General features: G+C 44.7%; 1 protein-coding gene across 4 annotated transcripts in view; it reads left to right on the top strand.

Annotated features, from left to right (window-relative positions):
• UTP6 (UTP6 small subunit processome component) overlaps positions 1-18,059 on the top strand; it is a 40,805-nt gene that overhangs the window by 13,421 nt on the left and 9,325 nt on the right. For 3 of the 4 annotated variants that reach the window (XM_011524997.4, NM_018428.3, XM_047436390.1), the window contains 9 exons: positions 975-1,052; positions 2,227-2,308; positions 3,783-3,864; positions 7,534-7,715; positions 9,507-9,586; positions 9,961-10,038; positions 12,875-13,054; positions 14,535-14,615; positions 14,801-14,910. In XM_011524997.4, coding sequence (XP_011523299.1) covers positions 975-1,052; positions 2,227-2,308; positions 3,783-3,864; positions 7,534-7,715; positions 9,507-9,586; positions 9,961-10,038; positions 12,875-13,054; positions 14,535-14,615; positions 14,801-14,910 — 953 coding nt within the window. Of the gene's footprint in view, positions 1-974; positions 1,053-2,226; positions 2,309-3,782; positions 3,865-7,533; positions 7,716-9,506; positions 9,587-9,960; positions 10,039-12,874; positions 13,055-14,534; positions 14,616-14,800; positions 14,911-18,059 lie in introns of those variants that run through there. The other variant, XM_047436391.1, reaches the window with a different exon arrangement.

The raw sequence follows: 18,059 nt of genomic DNA, 5'->3' as shown, positions 1-18,059 counted from the left end.
CCTCTTTATACTTTTGTTTTTATTTTTTTTTCTTGTTCCCTTGGTTCTCCAAAGAAGCCCTCTTCTGGCTTCTTTGCCTTGTCTTCCTCTTTTCTCCATGTTCTTTCTGTCTCCTTTTCTTGAGATAGATACCTGGTAGTACTTCCTTTCTCTCTTCGGGGACTTACTCCCTTATGGATGGTGCCTTAGAACATTTGAGGGCCAAGCTTTAGATAAAATCCCAAATAAGAGAAAGAATGTATTGGAAGCTGCACTGTTTTCTGAGTCATTTGTCAGGATAAAAGAGAAACTGCTATTTAATTCTTTTTTTTTTTTTTTTTTTTTTTGAGATGGAGTCTCACTCTTGTTGCTCAGGCAGGAGTGCAATGGTGTGTTCTTGGCTCACTGCAACCTCCACGCCCGGGGTTCAAACGATTCTCCTGCCTCAGCCCCCGAAGTAGCTGGGATTATAGGTGTGCACCACCATGCCCCGCTAACTTTTGTATTTTTAGTAGAGATGGGGTTTTACCATGTTGGGCAGGCTGGTCTCGAACTCCTGACCTCAAGTGATCCGCCCGCCTGGCCTCCCAAAGTGCTGGGATTACAGGCATGAGCCACCGTGCCCAGCCTGCTATTTAATTCTTAAATGAAAGTTAAGCCTGGGTGTGGTGGCTCATGCCTTTAATCCCAGCACTTTGGGAGGCTGAGGCAGGAGGATCACTTGAGGTCAGTTGTTTCAGGCCAGGCAGCAACGTAGCAAGATCCTGTCTCTACAAAAAATAAAAATAAAAAAATTATCTGAGTGTGATGGAATGCACCTCTAATCCTAGCTACTCAGGAAGCTGAGGCAAGGGGATCACTTGAGTGCAGGAATTCATGGCCGAAATGAGCTGTCATCACCAGTGCACTCCAGCTTGGGTGACAGAGCAAGACCCTGTCTCAAAAAAATTTTAAAAAGCATCTCCAAAGATTTTCAGTTTATTTCTCTTCTGTAGTACTTTAGGATGGAGCTGATGCATGCTGAAAAACTGAGGAAGGAGAAGGAAGAATTTGAAAAAGCCAGTATGGATGTGGTAAGGTTCTAATTATTTTATTCTCACTTGCTAACGATGTATAACATTTTGAGCCTGCTTAGGAGTAAGAGAAAATATTTGGAATATATTTTTCTTTTTTTTTCTTTTTTTTTGAGACGGAGTCTCGGTCTGTCACACAGGCTGGAGTGCAGTGGCACCATCTTGGCTCACTGCAACCTCTGCCTCCGGGTTCAAGCTTTAATGTTTAATGTTGTTACATTTTGAAACTTCCAGATGAGTTAGTGTTACTTATAAATGGACTTAGTTAGGAAAATGAAGCTTTATGCTATAAAAATAGATATTTGGACTAATTAATGTGGTTCTCAAAATTGTTACTTACAGAATAGCCAAATACTATTCTTTAACGCTGTATGATCTCATAAAGTGATATATTAATGGATTCAAGGAGCTTGAGAAAGGTTGTGAAATGTGTGGTTTCCTGGCCTTCTTTCTTTCCCTTTTTATATAATTTTTTATATGACAGAATAATTAAAAGATTTAGAATGTTAGAGCTGAGAAGAAACTTTGCTATTGTCTGTTATTGTGGTTTCCAGCTTAGAACTTTTTTCTCAGACGGAGTGTTGCTCCTTGTCGCCCAGGCTGGAGTGCACTGGCACGATCTTGGCTCACTGCAACCTCCGCCTCCCGGGTTCAAGTGATTCTCCTGCCACAGCCTCCGAAGTAGCTGGGATTACAGGTGCCCGCCACCACTCCCGGCTAATTTTTGTATTTCTAGTAGAGATGGGGTTTTGCCATGTTGGCCAGGCTGGTCATGAACTCCTGATCTCAAGTGATCCGCCTGCCTCGGCTTCCCAAAGTGCTAGGATTATAGGCATGAGTCACCACGCCAGGCCAGGACTTTTTTATTCAAATAAAATGTTACAGAGAAGCGCAAACAAGACATGTAAAATCTGACCTGTTTTGGTCCAAATGGAGAGTGAGGCCTTAAGCCATGTGATCTTGCCACCACTCTTGGAGCCTCAGAGAACACAGTTGGAAGGTCAGTGATCTTGTTCAAGCTGCACACTTTACAAGTGAGGGAACTGGCCCGGAGAGAGAGACATGATTTACCAGTGGTCATATGGCACAGGTAGTCTAGGATTGTTAATTTTCGTCCTAGTGCTTTTCCTCCTTGTACTACCTGTTAAGTTACGTTTGATATAACACTCTTTAGGAGAATCCTGATTATTCTGAAGAAATCCTTAAGGGCGAGTTGGCATGGATCATCTACAAAAATTCTGTAAGCATAATTAAAGGTAGGTATCTTTTGAACATTATTTTTGGTAGGAAAGTGAAACATTCTTTTCTTAATGAAGATCTTTAGCTAGTTTTGAAATTTTCCATTAGAATGTGTATAAAACTCTGTAGGAATAGTGTCCTGTTTCTTTCAGAAAATACTTATTTTTCCTAGGCTATAATTGAACATTTCAGTAACTTATTTATTTTTTGAGATGGAGTCTTGATCTGTTGCCCAGGCTGGAGTGCATTGGCGTGATCTCGGCTCACCACAACCTCTGCTTCCTGGGTTCAAGTGATTCTCCTGCCTCAGCCTCCCAAGTAGCTGGGACTATAGGTGTGTGCCACCCTGCCCAGCTAATTTTTGTATTTTTAGTAGAGACGTAGTTTCACTATGTTGGCTAGGCTGGTCTCGTACTCCTGACCTTGTGACCTGCCCGCCTTGGCCTCCCAAAGTGTTGGGATTACAGGCGTGAGCCACCATGCCTGGCATAAGTCTCTTTTTAAAATTTATATTCTACTCCCATTTTTTTCCCTTAAATTTTAATAGGTTTGGGCCGGGTATGGTGGCTCATGCCTGTAATCCCAGCACTTTGGGAGGCCAAGGCAGGTGGATCACCTGAGGTCAGGAGTTTGCGACCAGCCTGGCCCACATGGTGAAACCCCATTTCTACTAAAAATACAAAAATTAGCTGGGTGTGGTGGTGGGCGCCTGTAATCCCAGCTACTTGGGAGGCCGAGGCAGGAGAATTGCTTGAACCCGGGAGGTGGAGGTTGCAGTGAGCTGAGAGCGCCTGGGCAACAGAGCGAGACTTCATCTCAAAAAAATAAAAATGTCAATAGGTTTTTGGGGAACAGGTTTAGTGGTGATGTCTGAGATTTTGGTGCACCCATCAACGAGCAGTGTATACTGTACCCAGCGTGTACTCATTTATCCTTCCATGTTTTTTTTTTGAGACAGGGTCTTACTCTGTCACCCACGCAGGAGTGCAGTGGTACAATTATGGCTCACTGTAGCCTCGACTTCATGGGCTCAGGTGATTCTCCCATTTCAGCCTCCTGAGTAGCTGGGCATGGACCTCTATGCCTGGCTAGTTTTTGTACTTGTAGTAGAGATGAGGTTTCACCATGTTGTCCGGGCTAGTCTTGAACTCCTGAGCTCAAGTGATCCTCCTGCCTTGGCCTCCCAAAGTGATGGCATAACTGGTGTGAGCCATTGCACCAATCCTCAGTAAGTTCTCATGGAGTAATTAAATCGTGGGGAGTTGAAAATTAGTTCTTTTTTTATGAATACTCCAAAGATTAACAATAGCTTTGCTTGAGTAGGGGGACACTGGGGTGAGGGGACTATGGGATGACTTTTCTTCTATTTTATTCTATTTCTCATTTCAAAAAACAAGAAGATTAACTCCAGTACATGAAAAGAATGCTACTTTTAAAGTAAAGTGATTCTTATTGGCAATAAACTTCCCCTCCCCTGCTTTTTAAATTTAGGTGCAGAATTTCACGTGTCACTGCTTTCGATTGCACAGCTATTTGACTTTGCCAAAGATCTACAAAAAGAGATTTATGATGAGTAAGTAAAGTTAGTAGAAAGGTGAATATATCTATTTCTGATCTTGAGATTAAGGGTTTGAGGTTGGATATTTAGTAGAAGAGAAAGAAGATACCACACTAAATCCCTGGAATAAAAGCTAATATTGGCCGGGTGCAGTGGCTCACACCTGTAATCCCAGCACTTTGGGAGACTGAGGTGGGTGGATCACCAGAGGTCAGGAGTTTGAGACCAGCTTGACCAACATGGTGAAACCCCGTCTCTACTAAAAATACAAAATTAGTTGGGCGTGGTAGTGCATGCCTGTAATCCCAGCTACTTGGGAGGCTGAGCCAGGAGACTCGCTTGAACCTGGGAGGCGGAGGTTGCAGTGAGCCAAGATCCCACAATTGCACTCCAGCCTGGGTGACAAGCAAAACTCCATCTCAAAAAAAAAAAAAAATTAATATCATATTACGTTAAAAAAAAATTTCCTGGCCCAGTGTAGTAGCTCACACTTTGGGATCCCAGTACTTTGGGAGGCCAAGGCAGGTGGATCCCTTGAGCTCAGGGGTTTGAGACCACCCTAGGCAACACGGTGAAACCCTGTCTCTACAAAAAATAAGCTAGGTGTGGTGGTGCATGCCTGTGGTCCTACCTACTCTGGAGGCTGAGGTGGGAAGATCACCTGAGTCTGGGAGGTTGAGGCTGGAGTGAACTGTGATCCTGCCACTCCACTCCTGTCTGGGTCACAGAGTGAGACCGTGTCTCAGAAAAAAAGTATCTTCCTGATTGAGTTCTTTGATTCACTTACTGGGGGAAATAGTTTATTCAATAAAAAAAAAAAATCTAGCCAGGCACGGTGGCTTAAGCCTGTAATCCCGGCACTTTGGGAGGCCGAGATGCATGGATCACCTGAGGTCGAGAGTTTGAGACCAGCCTGACCAACATGGAGAAACCACGTTTCTACTAAAAATACAAAATTAGTCGGGCGTGGTGGCGCATACCTGTAATCCCAGCTACTCGGGAGGCTGAGGCAGGAGAATCACTTGAAGCCGGGAGGTGGAGGTTGCAGTGAGCCAAGATTGTGCCATTGCACTCCAGCCTGGGAAACAAGAGCAAAATTCCATCTCAAAAAAAAAAAAAAAATCTAAAGCTTATATAAAATTCTAAATTCTATTTTCCTGGCATTTATCCATAAAATGAGAGTTATACTCATATGTTTATAGTTGAGTGCTGGTAATTTTATTCTTTTTATTTCTTTATTATATTTTTATTTATTTATGTTTTTAATTATAGAGATGAGGTCTCACTATGTTGCCCAGGTTGATCTTGAATTCCTGAGCTCAAGTGATCCTCCTGCCTTAGCCTCCCAAAGTGCAAGGATTACAGGTGTGAGCCATTACACCTGGCTGGTAATTTTATTCTTTAATGTCTGATTATATGGTTTAACAATTATTTGTAAGCTTCGGCAACATGGCGAGACCTGTTTTTACAAAAAATAACAATAAAATTAGTTGGGTATGGTGACATGTGCCTGTAGTCCCAGCTACTTGCGGGGCTGAGGTGGGAGGATCCCTTGAGCCTGTGAGGTTGAGGCTGCCGTGAGCTGTTATTGCATCACTGCACCCCAGCCTGGGTGACAGAGTGAGACCCTGTCTCAAAAAAAGAAAAAAAAAATATTTTTAGCCTACCTTGTGGGTACTTCCGTTTTTTGGTAACACCTCTTCCTTTGACAGGAGGGGAAATGGAACTTGAATCAATCTGTTGTTTGGATATCTTCAGGGTTTTGAGAGAGGAGTAGGTTGTGCTTTTTCTCTATTATTTAGAAAATGAAGAACCCTGGGCTGGGTGTGGTGGCTTACGCCTGTAATCTCAGCACTTCGGGAGGCCGAGGTGGGCGGATCACTTGAGGTCAAGAGATTGAGATCATCCTGGCCAACATGGTGAAACCCCGTCTCTACTAAAAATAGAAAAATCAGCTTGGTGTGATGGCATGCACCTGTAATCCCAGCTACTCAGGAGGCTGAGGCAGGAGAATCGCTTGAACCTGGAAGGTGGAGGTTGCAGTGAGCTGAGATCGTCCCACTGCACTCCATCCTGGTGACAGAGAAGACTCTGTCTCCAAAAAAAAAAAACAGATGCAGTGGCTCATGCCTGTAATCCCAGCACTTGGGAAGGCCGAGGCGGGCGGATCACCTGAGGTCAGGAGTTTGAGACCAGTCTGGCCAACATGGTGAAACCCCGCCTCTACTAAAAATACAAAAATTAGCTGGGTGTGGTGTCACATGCCTGTAATCCCAGGTACTCCGGAGGCTGAGGCAGGAGAATCGCTTGAACCCAGGAGGCGGAGGTTATAGTGAGTTGAGATCGTGCCACTGCACTTCAGCTTGGGCAACAAGAGAGAAACTCTGTCTTAAAACACACACACAAACACACACACACACACAAACGAAAATGAAGAGCTCAGCTATAATAAAGTTCTTTAGGCTGGGCACAGGGGCTGTAATCCCAACACTTTGGGATGGACTATTGCTTGAGCACCCAGGAGTTGGAGACCATCCTGGGCAACATGGCAAAACTCTGTACAATAAAACTACCAAAATTAGCTGGGTATGGTGGCATGCACTTGTAGTACCAGCTACATGGGAGGCTGAGGTGGGAGGATCACCTGAGCCTGGGAGGTGGAGGCTGCAGTGAGCCATGATGGCACCACTGCACTCCAGCCTGGGTGACAGACCCTATCTCAAAAACAAAAAAAAGTTCTTCAGGTCTCTTGGAGTCTTGTGTTGTCACAGATAACTGCTGATTTGACTTTGAGAGCTAACTTGAAAGTTAACATTTGTGAATGATACCTGAAATATTCTGAAACTCAATAAATGTGGGACAGCTCTGGCCAGGTGCAGTGGCTCACACTGTAATCCCACCCAGCACTTTGGGAGCCCAAGGCAGGAGGATCACTTGAGGTCAAGAGTTTGAGACCAGTCTGGCCAACATGGTGAAAACTCATCTCTCCCAAAGAAATACAAAAATTAGCTGGGCGTGGTGGTATGCGTCTGTAATTCCAGCTACTTGGAAGGCTGAGGCAGGAGAATTGCTTGAATCCAGGAGATGGGGGTTGCAGCGAACTGAGATTGTGCCACTGCACTCCAGCCTTGGTGGCAATGAGATTCTGGCTCAAAAAAAAAAAAAAAAAAAGTGAAAAAGTGGGACAATTCTGATCCATTGACAAAATTTCTACAGTTAGTGAACATATTCTGGAGAGCCTGTTGGGAAATATATTTTTTTTTTTTTTGAGACAGAGTCTCGCTCTGTCGCCCATGCTGGAGTGATGCGATCTCGACTCACTGCAACTTCTGCCTCCTGGGTTCAAGCAATTCTCCTGTCTCAGCCTCTCTAGTAGCTGGGACTACAGTCACATGCCATCATGCCTGGCTTATTTTTGTATTTTTAGTAGAGATGGGGTTTCACCATATTGGTCAGGCTGGTCTCGAACTCCCGACCTCAGGTGATCCACCCACCTCAGACTCCCAAAGTGCTGGTCTCCCAGTGGCGTGAGCCACCGGGCCCGGCCTGGGAAATAGTTTTTATGGTACTGCAGTTGTTACAGGGATGTCCTGTGTAGATTTTTTAAGCACAGGTAACTGTTTCTCTGATATTCTGAGTCAGTTTCTTGTTGTGGGATTGATAACAGTAAATTGTATTTTTCAGCCTTCAGGCTCTACACACAGATGATCCTCTCACTTGGGATTATGTGGCAAGGCGAGAATTAGAGATTGAGTCACAGACAGAAGAGCAGCCTACAACGAAACAAGCCAAAGCAGTGGAGGTCGGCCGGAAGGAGGAGAGGTGCTGTGCTGTGTATGAAGAGGCAGTGAAGACTCTGCCAACAGGTGAACTTCACCAAACCATGGTGTGATATAGAAGGAATAGTATCCCTGATTGTGAAACTTAAGCTCCTGTTCCCATTGCCAAAATCAATATTGGGGATGTCTCTGTAACATAGTTTACGATGAGCCTGGCCTTTTTTTTTTTTTTTTATTGGGAGGCAGAGTCTTGTTCTGTCACCCTGGCTGGAGTTCAGTGGCTCGATTTCGGCTCACTGCAACCTCCACCTCCCGGGTTCAAGCAATTCTCCTGCCTCAGCCTCCCAAATAGCTGGGACTACGGGTGCCCGCCACCATGCCCAGCTAATTTTTTTGTATTTTAGTAGAGACGGGGTTTCACTGTGTTGCCCAGACTGGTCTCGAACTCCTGAGCTCAGGCGATCTACTTGCCTTGGTCTCCCAAAGTGCTAGGGTTACAGGATTACAGGCGTGAGCCACCGTGCCTGGGTTTTTTTTGTTTTTTGTTTTTTTTTGAGACAGAGTCTCACTCTGTTGCCCAGGCTGGAGTGCAATGGTGTGATCTCGGCTCACTGCAGCCTCCACCTCCCAGGTTCAAGCGATTGTCCTGCCTCATCCTCCCGAGTAGCTGGGATTACAGGCGTGTGCCACGATGCCTGGCTAATTTTTGTATTTTTAGTACAGACGGAGTTTCACCATGTTGGCCAGGCTGGTCTTGAACTCCTGACCTCAGGTGGTTTGCTCACTTTGGCCTCCTAAAGTGCTGGGATTACACGCATGAGCCACCGCATTTGGCCGTGCCTGGCTTTCTAACTTGGTCTTGGCTTTCTAACTTTTATGACCTTCCTCCATAGTAGTGGTATTTATGTTCATCTATTTTGGGGGAAGCTTAGGAAATAATTTCTAAGATTCTTCAATTATTATTTCTTAATTATCTATGTTTTTTTTTGAGACAGGATCCTGCTGTGTCACCCAGGCTGGAGTGCAGTGGCGCAATTTCAGCTCACTCCAACCTCTGCCTCCTGGGTTGAAGCAATCCTCCCGCCTCAACCCCCTGAGTAGCTGGGTCTACAGGCGCATGCCTCCACGCCAGGCCAATTTTAATGTATTTTTTGTAGAGATGGAGTTTTGCCATGTTGCCCAGGCTGGTCTTGAACTGCTAGAATCAAGTGATCTGCATGCCTCGGCCTCCCAACTTGCTAGGATTACCGACATCCTTAATTATCTTTTTGAGACAGAGTCTCACGCTGTTGCCCAGGCTGGAGTACAGTGACACGATCTCGGGTTACTACAACCTCTTCCTCCCAGGTTTAAGCAATTCTCCTGCCTCAGCCTCCCGAGTAGCTGGGATTACAGGTGCATGCCACCATGCCCCATGGATTTTTGTATTTTTAGTAGAGATGAGGTTTCACCACGTTGGCCAGGCTGGTCTTGAACTCCTGACTTCAGGTGATCAGCCTGCCTCAGCCTCCCAAAGTGATGGGATTACAGATGTGAACCACTGCCTCGCCCTTAATTATCTTTGGAAAGTGATTTAATTTTTATTTTGTAATAATGTAGAATAAAGGCAGAGGGGATATATAACCTGGATAAGGCTTTCAATTTTTATATTTAAGCTGTTACTCAGTTGTTTTCCCCCAATATTTGAGGTGTTTGATTGGCTGTAGTCAGCATAACACTTCTTAAAATCAGGCTGATTTAAACTCTTCTTCAGAGGAGAGTTTTCCCCTTGAAGTAAAGGTGTAGGATGACTGTTTTTTTCCTTATCTTTTAATAACTTTGATGTGATGAATGTTGAACTAAGTGATCTGATCAACACAATCTTTCTGACTTTTCCAGAGGCCATGTGGAAGTGTTACATCACCTTTTGCTTGGAAAGATTTACTAAGAAGTCAAATAGTGGGTTCCTTAGAGGGAAGGTGAGGTTGTTACATGGTTACAGTGGTTGACTAGATAGTGACTGCCTTCTGAAAGAACAGAAGCACAGATCTTTTGGTGTCTGGCACAGTTTCTGAGAACTTTTATGTTTAGCCACTCTCTCTCTCCTTGTGGGTGACGTGACATTCTAAAGGTCTGAGTCTGGTTTGCCGCCAGGTTAGGAGGGGCTCTCGTGTAACTGGGCTCTGTTCGGTGCAGCTGCCCATTGCATCTATTCATAAGTGAAACCACCATGCAGGAGCAAGTCAGCTTCTTTGAATTTTAAGAAATGCGCAAAACTGCTTTTGTTCATGTCAGAGGCCAGAGGCCCCTGCTGGGATCTTTGTAATGAACTGAGGGATTTTTCTGTTTTCAGAGGTTGGAAAGAACCATGACTGTATTCAGGAAGGCACATGAACTGAAGCTTCTGTCAGAATGCCAATACAAGCAGTTGGTAAGAACATAGAGAAAATATTCTGTGCCAGTTACAAATACCTTATTCCAGTTGTTTTGTGCCAGAGTCATGTTTTAAATATATATAGTCTTAAGATGAAGGCCACTTGGGAGTTCGGTATGTGAAGTGTGTTTATATGTGTTTCCCAGTATTTGGCCTATGCAAAAAATGAAATCTGTACTAGCAAAGGGAGGAGTATTATACAGTGAAAAGCACTTAGAACAAGAGTCATGATTTGGGTTTATTTTGTTTGTCCACCCATTCCTTTTTTTTTTTTTTTTTTGAGACGGAGTTTCACTCTGTTGCCCAGGCTGGAGCACAGTGGCGCGATCTCAGCTCACTGCATCCTCTGCCTCTTGGGTTCAAGTGATTCTTGTGCCTTAGCCTCCCAAGTAGCTGGGATCACAGGTGCATGCCACCACGCCCAGCTAATTTTTGTATTTTTGGTAGAGACGGGATTTCACCATCTTGGCTGGGCTGGTCTCTAACTTCTGACCTCAAGTGATCCCCCTGCCTCGGCCTCCCAAAGTGCTGGGACTAAGGCATGAGCCATCATGCCTGGCCAAATTTTTGTATTTTTAGTAGGGACAGAGTTTCACTATGTTGGCCAGGCTGGTCTTGAGCTCCTGACCTCAAGCGATCTGACTGCCTCAGCCTCCCAAAGTGCTGAGATTACAGGCATGATCCACTGCTCCTGGCCGTGCCTGGCTTTCTAACTTGGTCTTTCAGGCGTGAGCCACTGTGCCCAGCCTAGATGATTCATCTTCTGTCGGAAGAAACATATCAAACCGTTTTGTCTCTTAGACTGGAGGCTCTATGGGTGGTAGGGAATGCATCTGATTTGTTCACTATTGAATCTAGCACATATAGTGTGCAATAAAAATGCTTGCTGAATGTACTGATTATATACTGTCATTTAATTTTTCACAAATTTGTACAATTGGATTGTTTTTAGGTTTTTTCTCTTTTTCAAATAATGTAGGTATAAGCATTTTGAACAGGTAAAATTTCCTTTCATTCATGTATTTTTTGGACCATATTTGTTAATGTAGAAGTCCCAAATTGAAGCGTTGAGCACTTTCATGACTCTTGCTACAAACTGTCAAATTGAATTTCAGAAAAATTTGCTTTAGTTTATGTTATGTCCAACTCTGTTTGAATATACCTGTTTCCTTGACACTCCACAAATACTGATTTTGTGGATTGATTTTTGTTTATTGATTTTTAAAATTTTTTTGGAGACAGAGTCTTGCTCTGTCACCCAGCCTGGAGTGTAGTGGCATGATCTTGGCCCACTGCAACTTCCTCCTCCCAGGTTTAAGTGATTCTCCCAACTCATCCTCCCGAGTAGCTGGGATTACAGGCGTGCACCAACACACCTAGCTAATTTTTGTATTTTTAGTAGAAACAAGGTTTCACCATGTTGGCTAAGCTGGTCTTGAGCTCTTGACCTCAGGTGATCTGCCTGCCTTGGCCTCCCAAAGTGCTGGGATTACAGGCGTGAGCCACTGAGCGCAGCCTATTTGTTAATTTTCATCCTCTGTTTGGTGAGCATGTGTTCTGGCATAGTGAACTGTTTTGTTTTTATTTATTTATTATTTTTTTGAGACGGAGTTTCGCTCTTGTTGCCCAGGCTGGAGTGCAATGGCATGATCTTGGCTCACCTCAACCTCCGCCTCCTGGGTTCAAGCAATTCTCCTGACTCAGCCTCCCGAGTAGCCGGAATTACAAGCATGCACCACCACGCCTGGCTAATTTTGTATTTTTAGTAGTGACAGGGTTTCTCCATGTTGGTCAGGCTGGTCTTGAACTCCCGACCTTAGGTGATCTGCCTGCCTCAGCCTCCCAAAGTGCTGGGATTACAGGCGTGAGCCACCATGCCTGGCTGTGAACTGTTTTATTAAAAACTTATATGCTGGGCATGGTGGCTCACGCCTGTAATCCCAGCACTTTGGGAGGCCGAGGTGGGTGGATCATCTGAGGTCAGGAGTTTAAGACCAGCCTGGCCAACATGGTGAAACCCCATTTCTACTAAAATACAAAAAATTAACCAGGCGTGGCGATGGGCGCCTGTCGTCCCAGCTACTCGGGAGGCTGAGGGAGGAGAATTGCTTGAACCCAGGAGTTGGAGGTTGCAGTGAGCCGAGATCATTGCGCCACTGTACTCCAGGCTGGGTTACAGAGCAAAACTCTGTCTCCAAAAAAAAGAAAAAGAAAAACAAAAAAACCTAACTTACAGTCTAAATTCTTTAGGTTCTCTGGTTTTTACGTCTTCCCTGTTTTTGGATAACCCTCATGGGTAGGAGCAGTGAAAATAGGAGAAATTCTAAATTGTTCACTTCGTGCCTGTTTAACAGCCATGGAAAATTTGTTTTGATACCTATAAGTTATCACATAGCTCATTTCTTTTCTTTTTTTTTTTTTTTTTTGAGATAGAGTTGCTCTGTCGCCGAGGTTGGAGTGCAGTGGTGTGATCTCAGCTCACTGCAATCTCCACCTCCTGGATTCAAGCGATTCTTCTGCCTCAGCCTTCCGAGTAGCTGGGATTACAGATGCATACCACCACACCCAGCTAATTTTTGTGTTTTTAGTAGAGACGGGGTTTCACCATGTTGGCCGGGATGGTCTTGATCTCCTGAGCTCGTGATGTGCCCGCCTGGGCCTCCCAAAGTGCTGGGGTTACAGGTGTGAGCCACCACACCTGGCCTCTTTTTTATTTTAAATTGTAGTGGAAAGGTTGGTGAAATTCTTGCCTCAAATGAGGCATAGGTTTACATTTACATAGATTGTTTGGGTTTCAGTAATTAATTTTCCAGTCATCCTTCATCTTGTCTAGAGTGTTTCGTTGCTGTGTTATAACTTCCTGAGGGAAGCTCTGGAAGTGGCAGTAGCTGGAACTGAATTGTTTAGAGACTCTGGGACAATGTGGCAGCTGAAGCTGCAGGTGCTGATCGAGTCAAAGAGCCCTGACATAGCCATGCTTTTTGAAGAAGCCTTTGTGCACCTGAAACCCCAGGTCAGTGAGCTGGATCTTTTGTATTCATTATATTTGGGAAACCTTTTAAGACTAGCCAAGGCTCATTTGGAATGTACTTGTCTATTGAGAGCCAACTCTAGAGTGGCATTTGCTATTCAGTGGTGATGGTTCATAGGTTAAGAGTAGAAGAATTTGCTTCTATTTAATATCCTTTATTTGAAAGTTAACCAAATTAAATAAAACTTCCTATTCTATTTAGATATCTTATAAAGTTAGAAATACCAGTAGAATATTAATGTCACTTGCTGAATATAAGCCCAACCTTTTTTTTTTTTTTTTTTAAGATGGAGTCTCGCTCTGTTGTCCAGGCTGGAGTGCAGTGGCGTGATCTCAGCTCACTGCAATCTCTGCCTCCCGGGTTCAGGCAATTCTCCTGCCTCAGCCTCCCGAGTAGCTGGGACTACAGGCGCATGCCATCACACCTGACTAATATTTTCTATTTTAGTAGAGACAGGATATCTCCATGTTGGCCAGGCTGGTCTGGAACTCCTAGCCTCAAGTGATCTGCCCGCCTTGGCCTCCCAAAGTGCTGAGATTACAGGCGTGAGCCACGGTGTATGGCCAGATTCACTTTGCAGTGAATTTTTTATATTAGTAGGTAAAACGTATTCCAGAAGATAAAGTAGGAAAAAAACTACTGCTCATTTGGTGGTTTTTCCTTTTTTTTGAGATGAAGTCTTGTTCTGTTGCCCAGGCTGGAGTGCAGTGGTGCAAACTTGGCTCACTGCAACCTCCACCTCCCAGGTTCAAGCGATTCTCCTGTCTCAGCCTCCCAAGTAGCTGGGATAAGAAGTGCCCACCACCATGCCCAGCTAATTTTTGTATTTTTAGTAGAGACAGGGTTTTGCCATGTTGGCCAGGCTGGTCTTGAACTCCTGGCCTCAAGTGATCCGCCTGCCTCCGTCTTTAAAGTGCTGGGATTGCAAATGTGCGCCACCATGCCTCGCTTTTGCTGCTCATTTGTACGTACCTCTGGGACATGAATGAAGATCAGATAGTTCAGCCTAGATTAATTAGTTCTTGTGTTGTGGGTCTTAGACAGCAGAGACATGACCTGGGTAGCTGTGGGTCTAACTGTGTGGGCTGTTAATTACTTACTTAACTAAAAGATGATTGATGATAACTACATGAAATATTTCCCAATAGAAAGGAACTAAAATTCACAGAAGAGTGTTGCTCTGAGTGACTTGGTCAGAAGGCTGGCTGTGTTCTGGAGTGCCATTCCTGCTGGGCAATGAGAATTCTGTCACAATGAGGACTGTTTGGGAATGAATCCCTATTTTACATGTTGATTATCTTAGGAGGAACCTGCCTTTTTAACTAGTTTTCAGAGCATAGGACTAAACTGTCATTTTATAGCATAAAAAAATTGATACATAATATTTTACATATTTATAGGGTACATGCGATGTTTTGTTATATGCTGTTCTCTAACTAACATTTTTTAAACTGGGAGTAGGTTTGTCTGCCATTGTGGATTTCCTGGGCAGAGTGGAGTGAAGGTGCCAAAAGCCAAGAAGACACTGAGGCAGTCTTTAAGGTATAGGCTCCGTGTTCCAAGTCTTGTGGTGTGGGGAATGGCAGAAGGTTCCCTGGTTGGTCAGCTCTAGTGTTGCAGGTGCGCCTAAAGCACTATGGAGTGGCCTCAGGTGGTTCTGGGAAAATCTGTTTTGGTATCTATAAGTTTTCTCACATAGCTTCTTTCTTTTTTCTTTTAAATTGTAGAAAGCTCTCTTAGCTGTCATAGGTGCCGACTCAGTAACCCTGAAGAATAAGTACCTGGATTGGGCTTATCGAAGTGGTGGCTACAAAAAGGCCAGAGCTGTGTTTAAAAGGTACTCACAGACGTTCATAGTTGTTACTAGTCCCTCTACCCCATGCTCAGCCGCTCATACCCAGATTATTTGAATCACAGATAGCATCTGAGGGAGTAATCTGATACACTTTTTCTTTTTTTTTAAGATGGAGTCTTGCTCTGTTGCCCAGGCTGGAGTGCAGTGGCACAATCTCTGCTCACTGCAATCTCCGCCTCCTGCGTTCAAGTGATTCTCCTGCCTCGGCTTCCCGAGTAGCTAGGATTACAGGCACCTGCCACCACGCCTGGCTAATTTTTAAATTTTAGATTTTAAAGACAAGGTTTCACCATGTTGGCCAGGCTGGTCTCAAACTCCTAACCTCAGGTGATCTGCCCACCTCAGCCTCCCAAAGTGCAGGGATTACAGGCATGAGGCACCACACCTGACCCAATACACTGTTTCATTTTCCTTTTTTTTTGTTTTTTTTTTGTTTTTTTGAGACAGTGATTCTCCCGCCTTAGCCTCCTGAATAGCTGGGATTACAGATGTGTGACACCACGCCCGGCTAATTTTGTAATTTAGTAGAGACGGTTTCATCATGTTGGCCAGGCTGGTCTCGAACTGCTGATCTCAAGTGATTTGCTTGTCTTGGCCTCTCAAAGTGCTGGGATTACAGGCATGAGCCAGTGCATTTGGCCTCCAGTGAACTTTTTCAAAAAGTAATGTTTCCTTTTCTTTTTTGAGACAGGTTCTCGCTCTGTCACCTAGGTTAGAGTGTAGTGGCACAATCATGGTTCACCGAAGCCTTGACCTTCTGGGCTCAAGCAGTCCGCCCACCTCAGCCTCCCAAATGTCTGGGTCTACAGGCATGTACCACCATGTCCAGCTAACTTAAAACATTTTTTTTTTTTGGTAGAGACTGAGTCTCACAACATTGTTCAGCCTGGTCTCAAACTCCTGGGCTCAAGCAGTCCTCCTGCCTCAGCCTCCCAAAGTGCTAGGATTATAAGTGTAAGCCACCATGCCTGGCCTTCTTTTTCTTTTTTTTGAACAATAAAAGCAGTTCATTGTGGTGGGGGAAAACATAACCATGATAATTTATTACATCATCGAAGGAAAAATTACTGTTAACACATAATTTTAAAATTTGTTTTTATGTAGTTGAGATTATAGTATAACTGTAATTTTATTTATGATTTAAAAAAAATTTCTTTTTTTTTTTGAGATGGAGTCTCACTGTGTTGCCCAGGCTGGAGTGCAGTGGTACAGTCTCGGCTCACTGCAACTTCTGCCTCCCGGGTTCAAGCGATTCTCCTGCCTCAGCCTCCTGAGTAGCTGGGATTACAGGCATGTGCCACGACGCCCGGCTAATTTTTTATATTTTTAGTAGATAAGGGTTTTTGCCATGTTGGCTAGGCTGGTCTCGAACTCCTGACCTCTGGTGACCTGCCCGCCTCGGCCTCCCTAAGTGTTGGGATTACAGGTGTGAGCCACTGTGCCCGGCCTAAATATTTTTTTTTTCTTTGAGACAGAGTCTTGCTCTGTTGCCCAGGCTGAGTGTAATGGCGCCATCTTGGCTCACTGCAAACTCTGCCTTCCTGGTTCAAGTGATTCTTGTGCGTTAGCTTCCCAAGTAGCTGGGACTACAGGTGTGTGCCACCACACCCAGGTAATTTTTTATTTTTAGTAGAGATGGGGTTTCACTGTGTTGCCCAGGCTGGTCTTGAACTCCTGGGCCCAAGCAATCTGCCCAGCTCAGCCTCCCAAAATGCTGGGATTACAGGCATGAGCTACCATGCCTGGCGATGCCCCGCTAATTCTTAAATTTTTTTGCAGAGTCAGGGTCTCGCCTTGTTGCTTAAACTGATCTTGACCTTATGGCTTCCAGTGATCTTCCTGCCTTGGCCTCCCAAAGGGCTGGGATTGTAGGTATGAGGCACTGTGCCCAGCCAAAAATTCTTTATAAACATCATTTATTAAACATAGCTATATGAGCTGGGCACGGTGGTTCAAGGCCTCTAATCTCAGGATTTTGGGAGACTGAGACAAGAGGATTGCTTGATCCCAAGCATTTGAGACGAGCGTGGGCAACACAACGAGACTTCATTTCTATGAAAAGTTAAAAGGCCGGGTGCGGTGGCTCATGCCTGTAATCCTAGCACTTTAGGAGGCCGAGGCGGGCGGATCACAAGGTCAGGAGTTCGAGACCATCCTGGCTAACACGATGAAACCCCGTCTCTACTAAAAAAAATACAAAAAATTAGCCGGGCGTGGTGGCAGGCGCCTGTATTCCCAGCTACTTGGGAGGCTAAGGCAGGAGCATGGCGTGAACCTGGGAGGCGGAGCTTTCAGTGAGCTGAGATCGCGCCACTGCATTCCAGCCTGGGCGACAGAGCAAGACTCCATCTCAAAAAAAAAAAAAAAAAAAACTTAAAAAGTTGGGTGTCATGGCATGTGCCTGTGATTTTAGCTACTTGGGAAGCTGAAGTCAGAGGATCACTTGAGTCCAGGTGGTTGAGGCTGTAGTGAGCCGTGTTTGTGCTAGTACACTCCAGCCTTGGTGACAGAGTGAGACCCTGTCTCAAAACAAAAACATCCAGGTGCGGTGGCTCATGCCTGTAATCCCAGCACTTTGGGAGGTCGAGGCAGACGGATCACGAGGTCAGGAGATCGAGACCATCCTGGCTAATATGGTGAAACCCTGTCTCTACTAAAAATACAAAAAAAATTAGTCAGATGTGGTGGCGGGCGCCTGTAGTCCCAGCTACCTGGGAGGCTGAGGCAGGAGAATGGCATGAACCCGGGAGGCGGAGCTTGCAGTGAGCTGAGATTGCGCCACTGCACTCCAGCCTGGGCGACAGATCAAGACTCCGTCTCAAAAAAAAAAACCAAAAAAAAAAACCAAAACAACAACAACAACAAAAACAAAAAACCCAAAACAAAACAAACATAATAGCTGTATTGAAGGCAGCCAGCATACATGTGAAAAAATGTTCAAGATGACTAACTTTTAGAGAAATGCAAATCAAAACCACAATGAGATACCATCTCACTAGTCAGAATGGCTATTAAAAAGTCATAAAATTATAGATATTGGCAAGGCTGCAGGGTAAACCTTATATACTGTTGGTGGGAATGTAAATTAGTTCAGCCACTGTGGAAATCAGCTGGAGATTTCTGGAAGAACT

Source organism: Homo sapiens, chromosome 17 (genome assembly GCF_000001405.40).
Source record: "Homo sapiens chromosome 17, GRCh38.p14 Primary Assembly".
In the NCBI taxonomy this organism is placed as follows: domain Eukaryota; kingdom Metazoa; phylum Chordata; class Mammalia; order Primates; family Hominidae; genus Homo; species Homo sapiens.
This window is presented reverse-complemented; position numbering and strand designations above follow the sequence as displayed.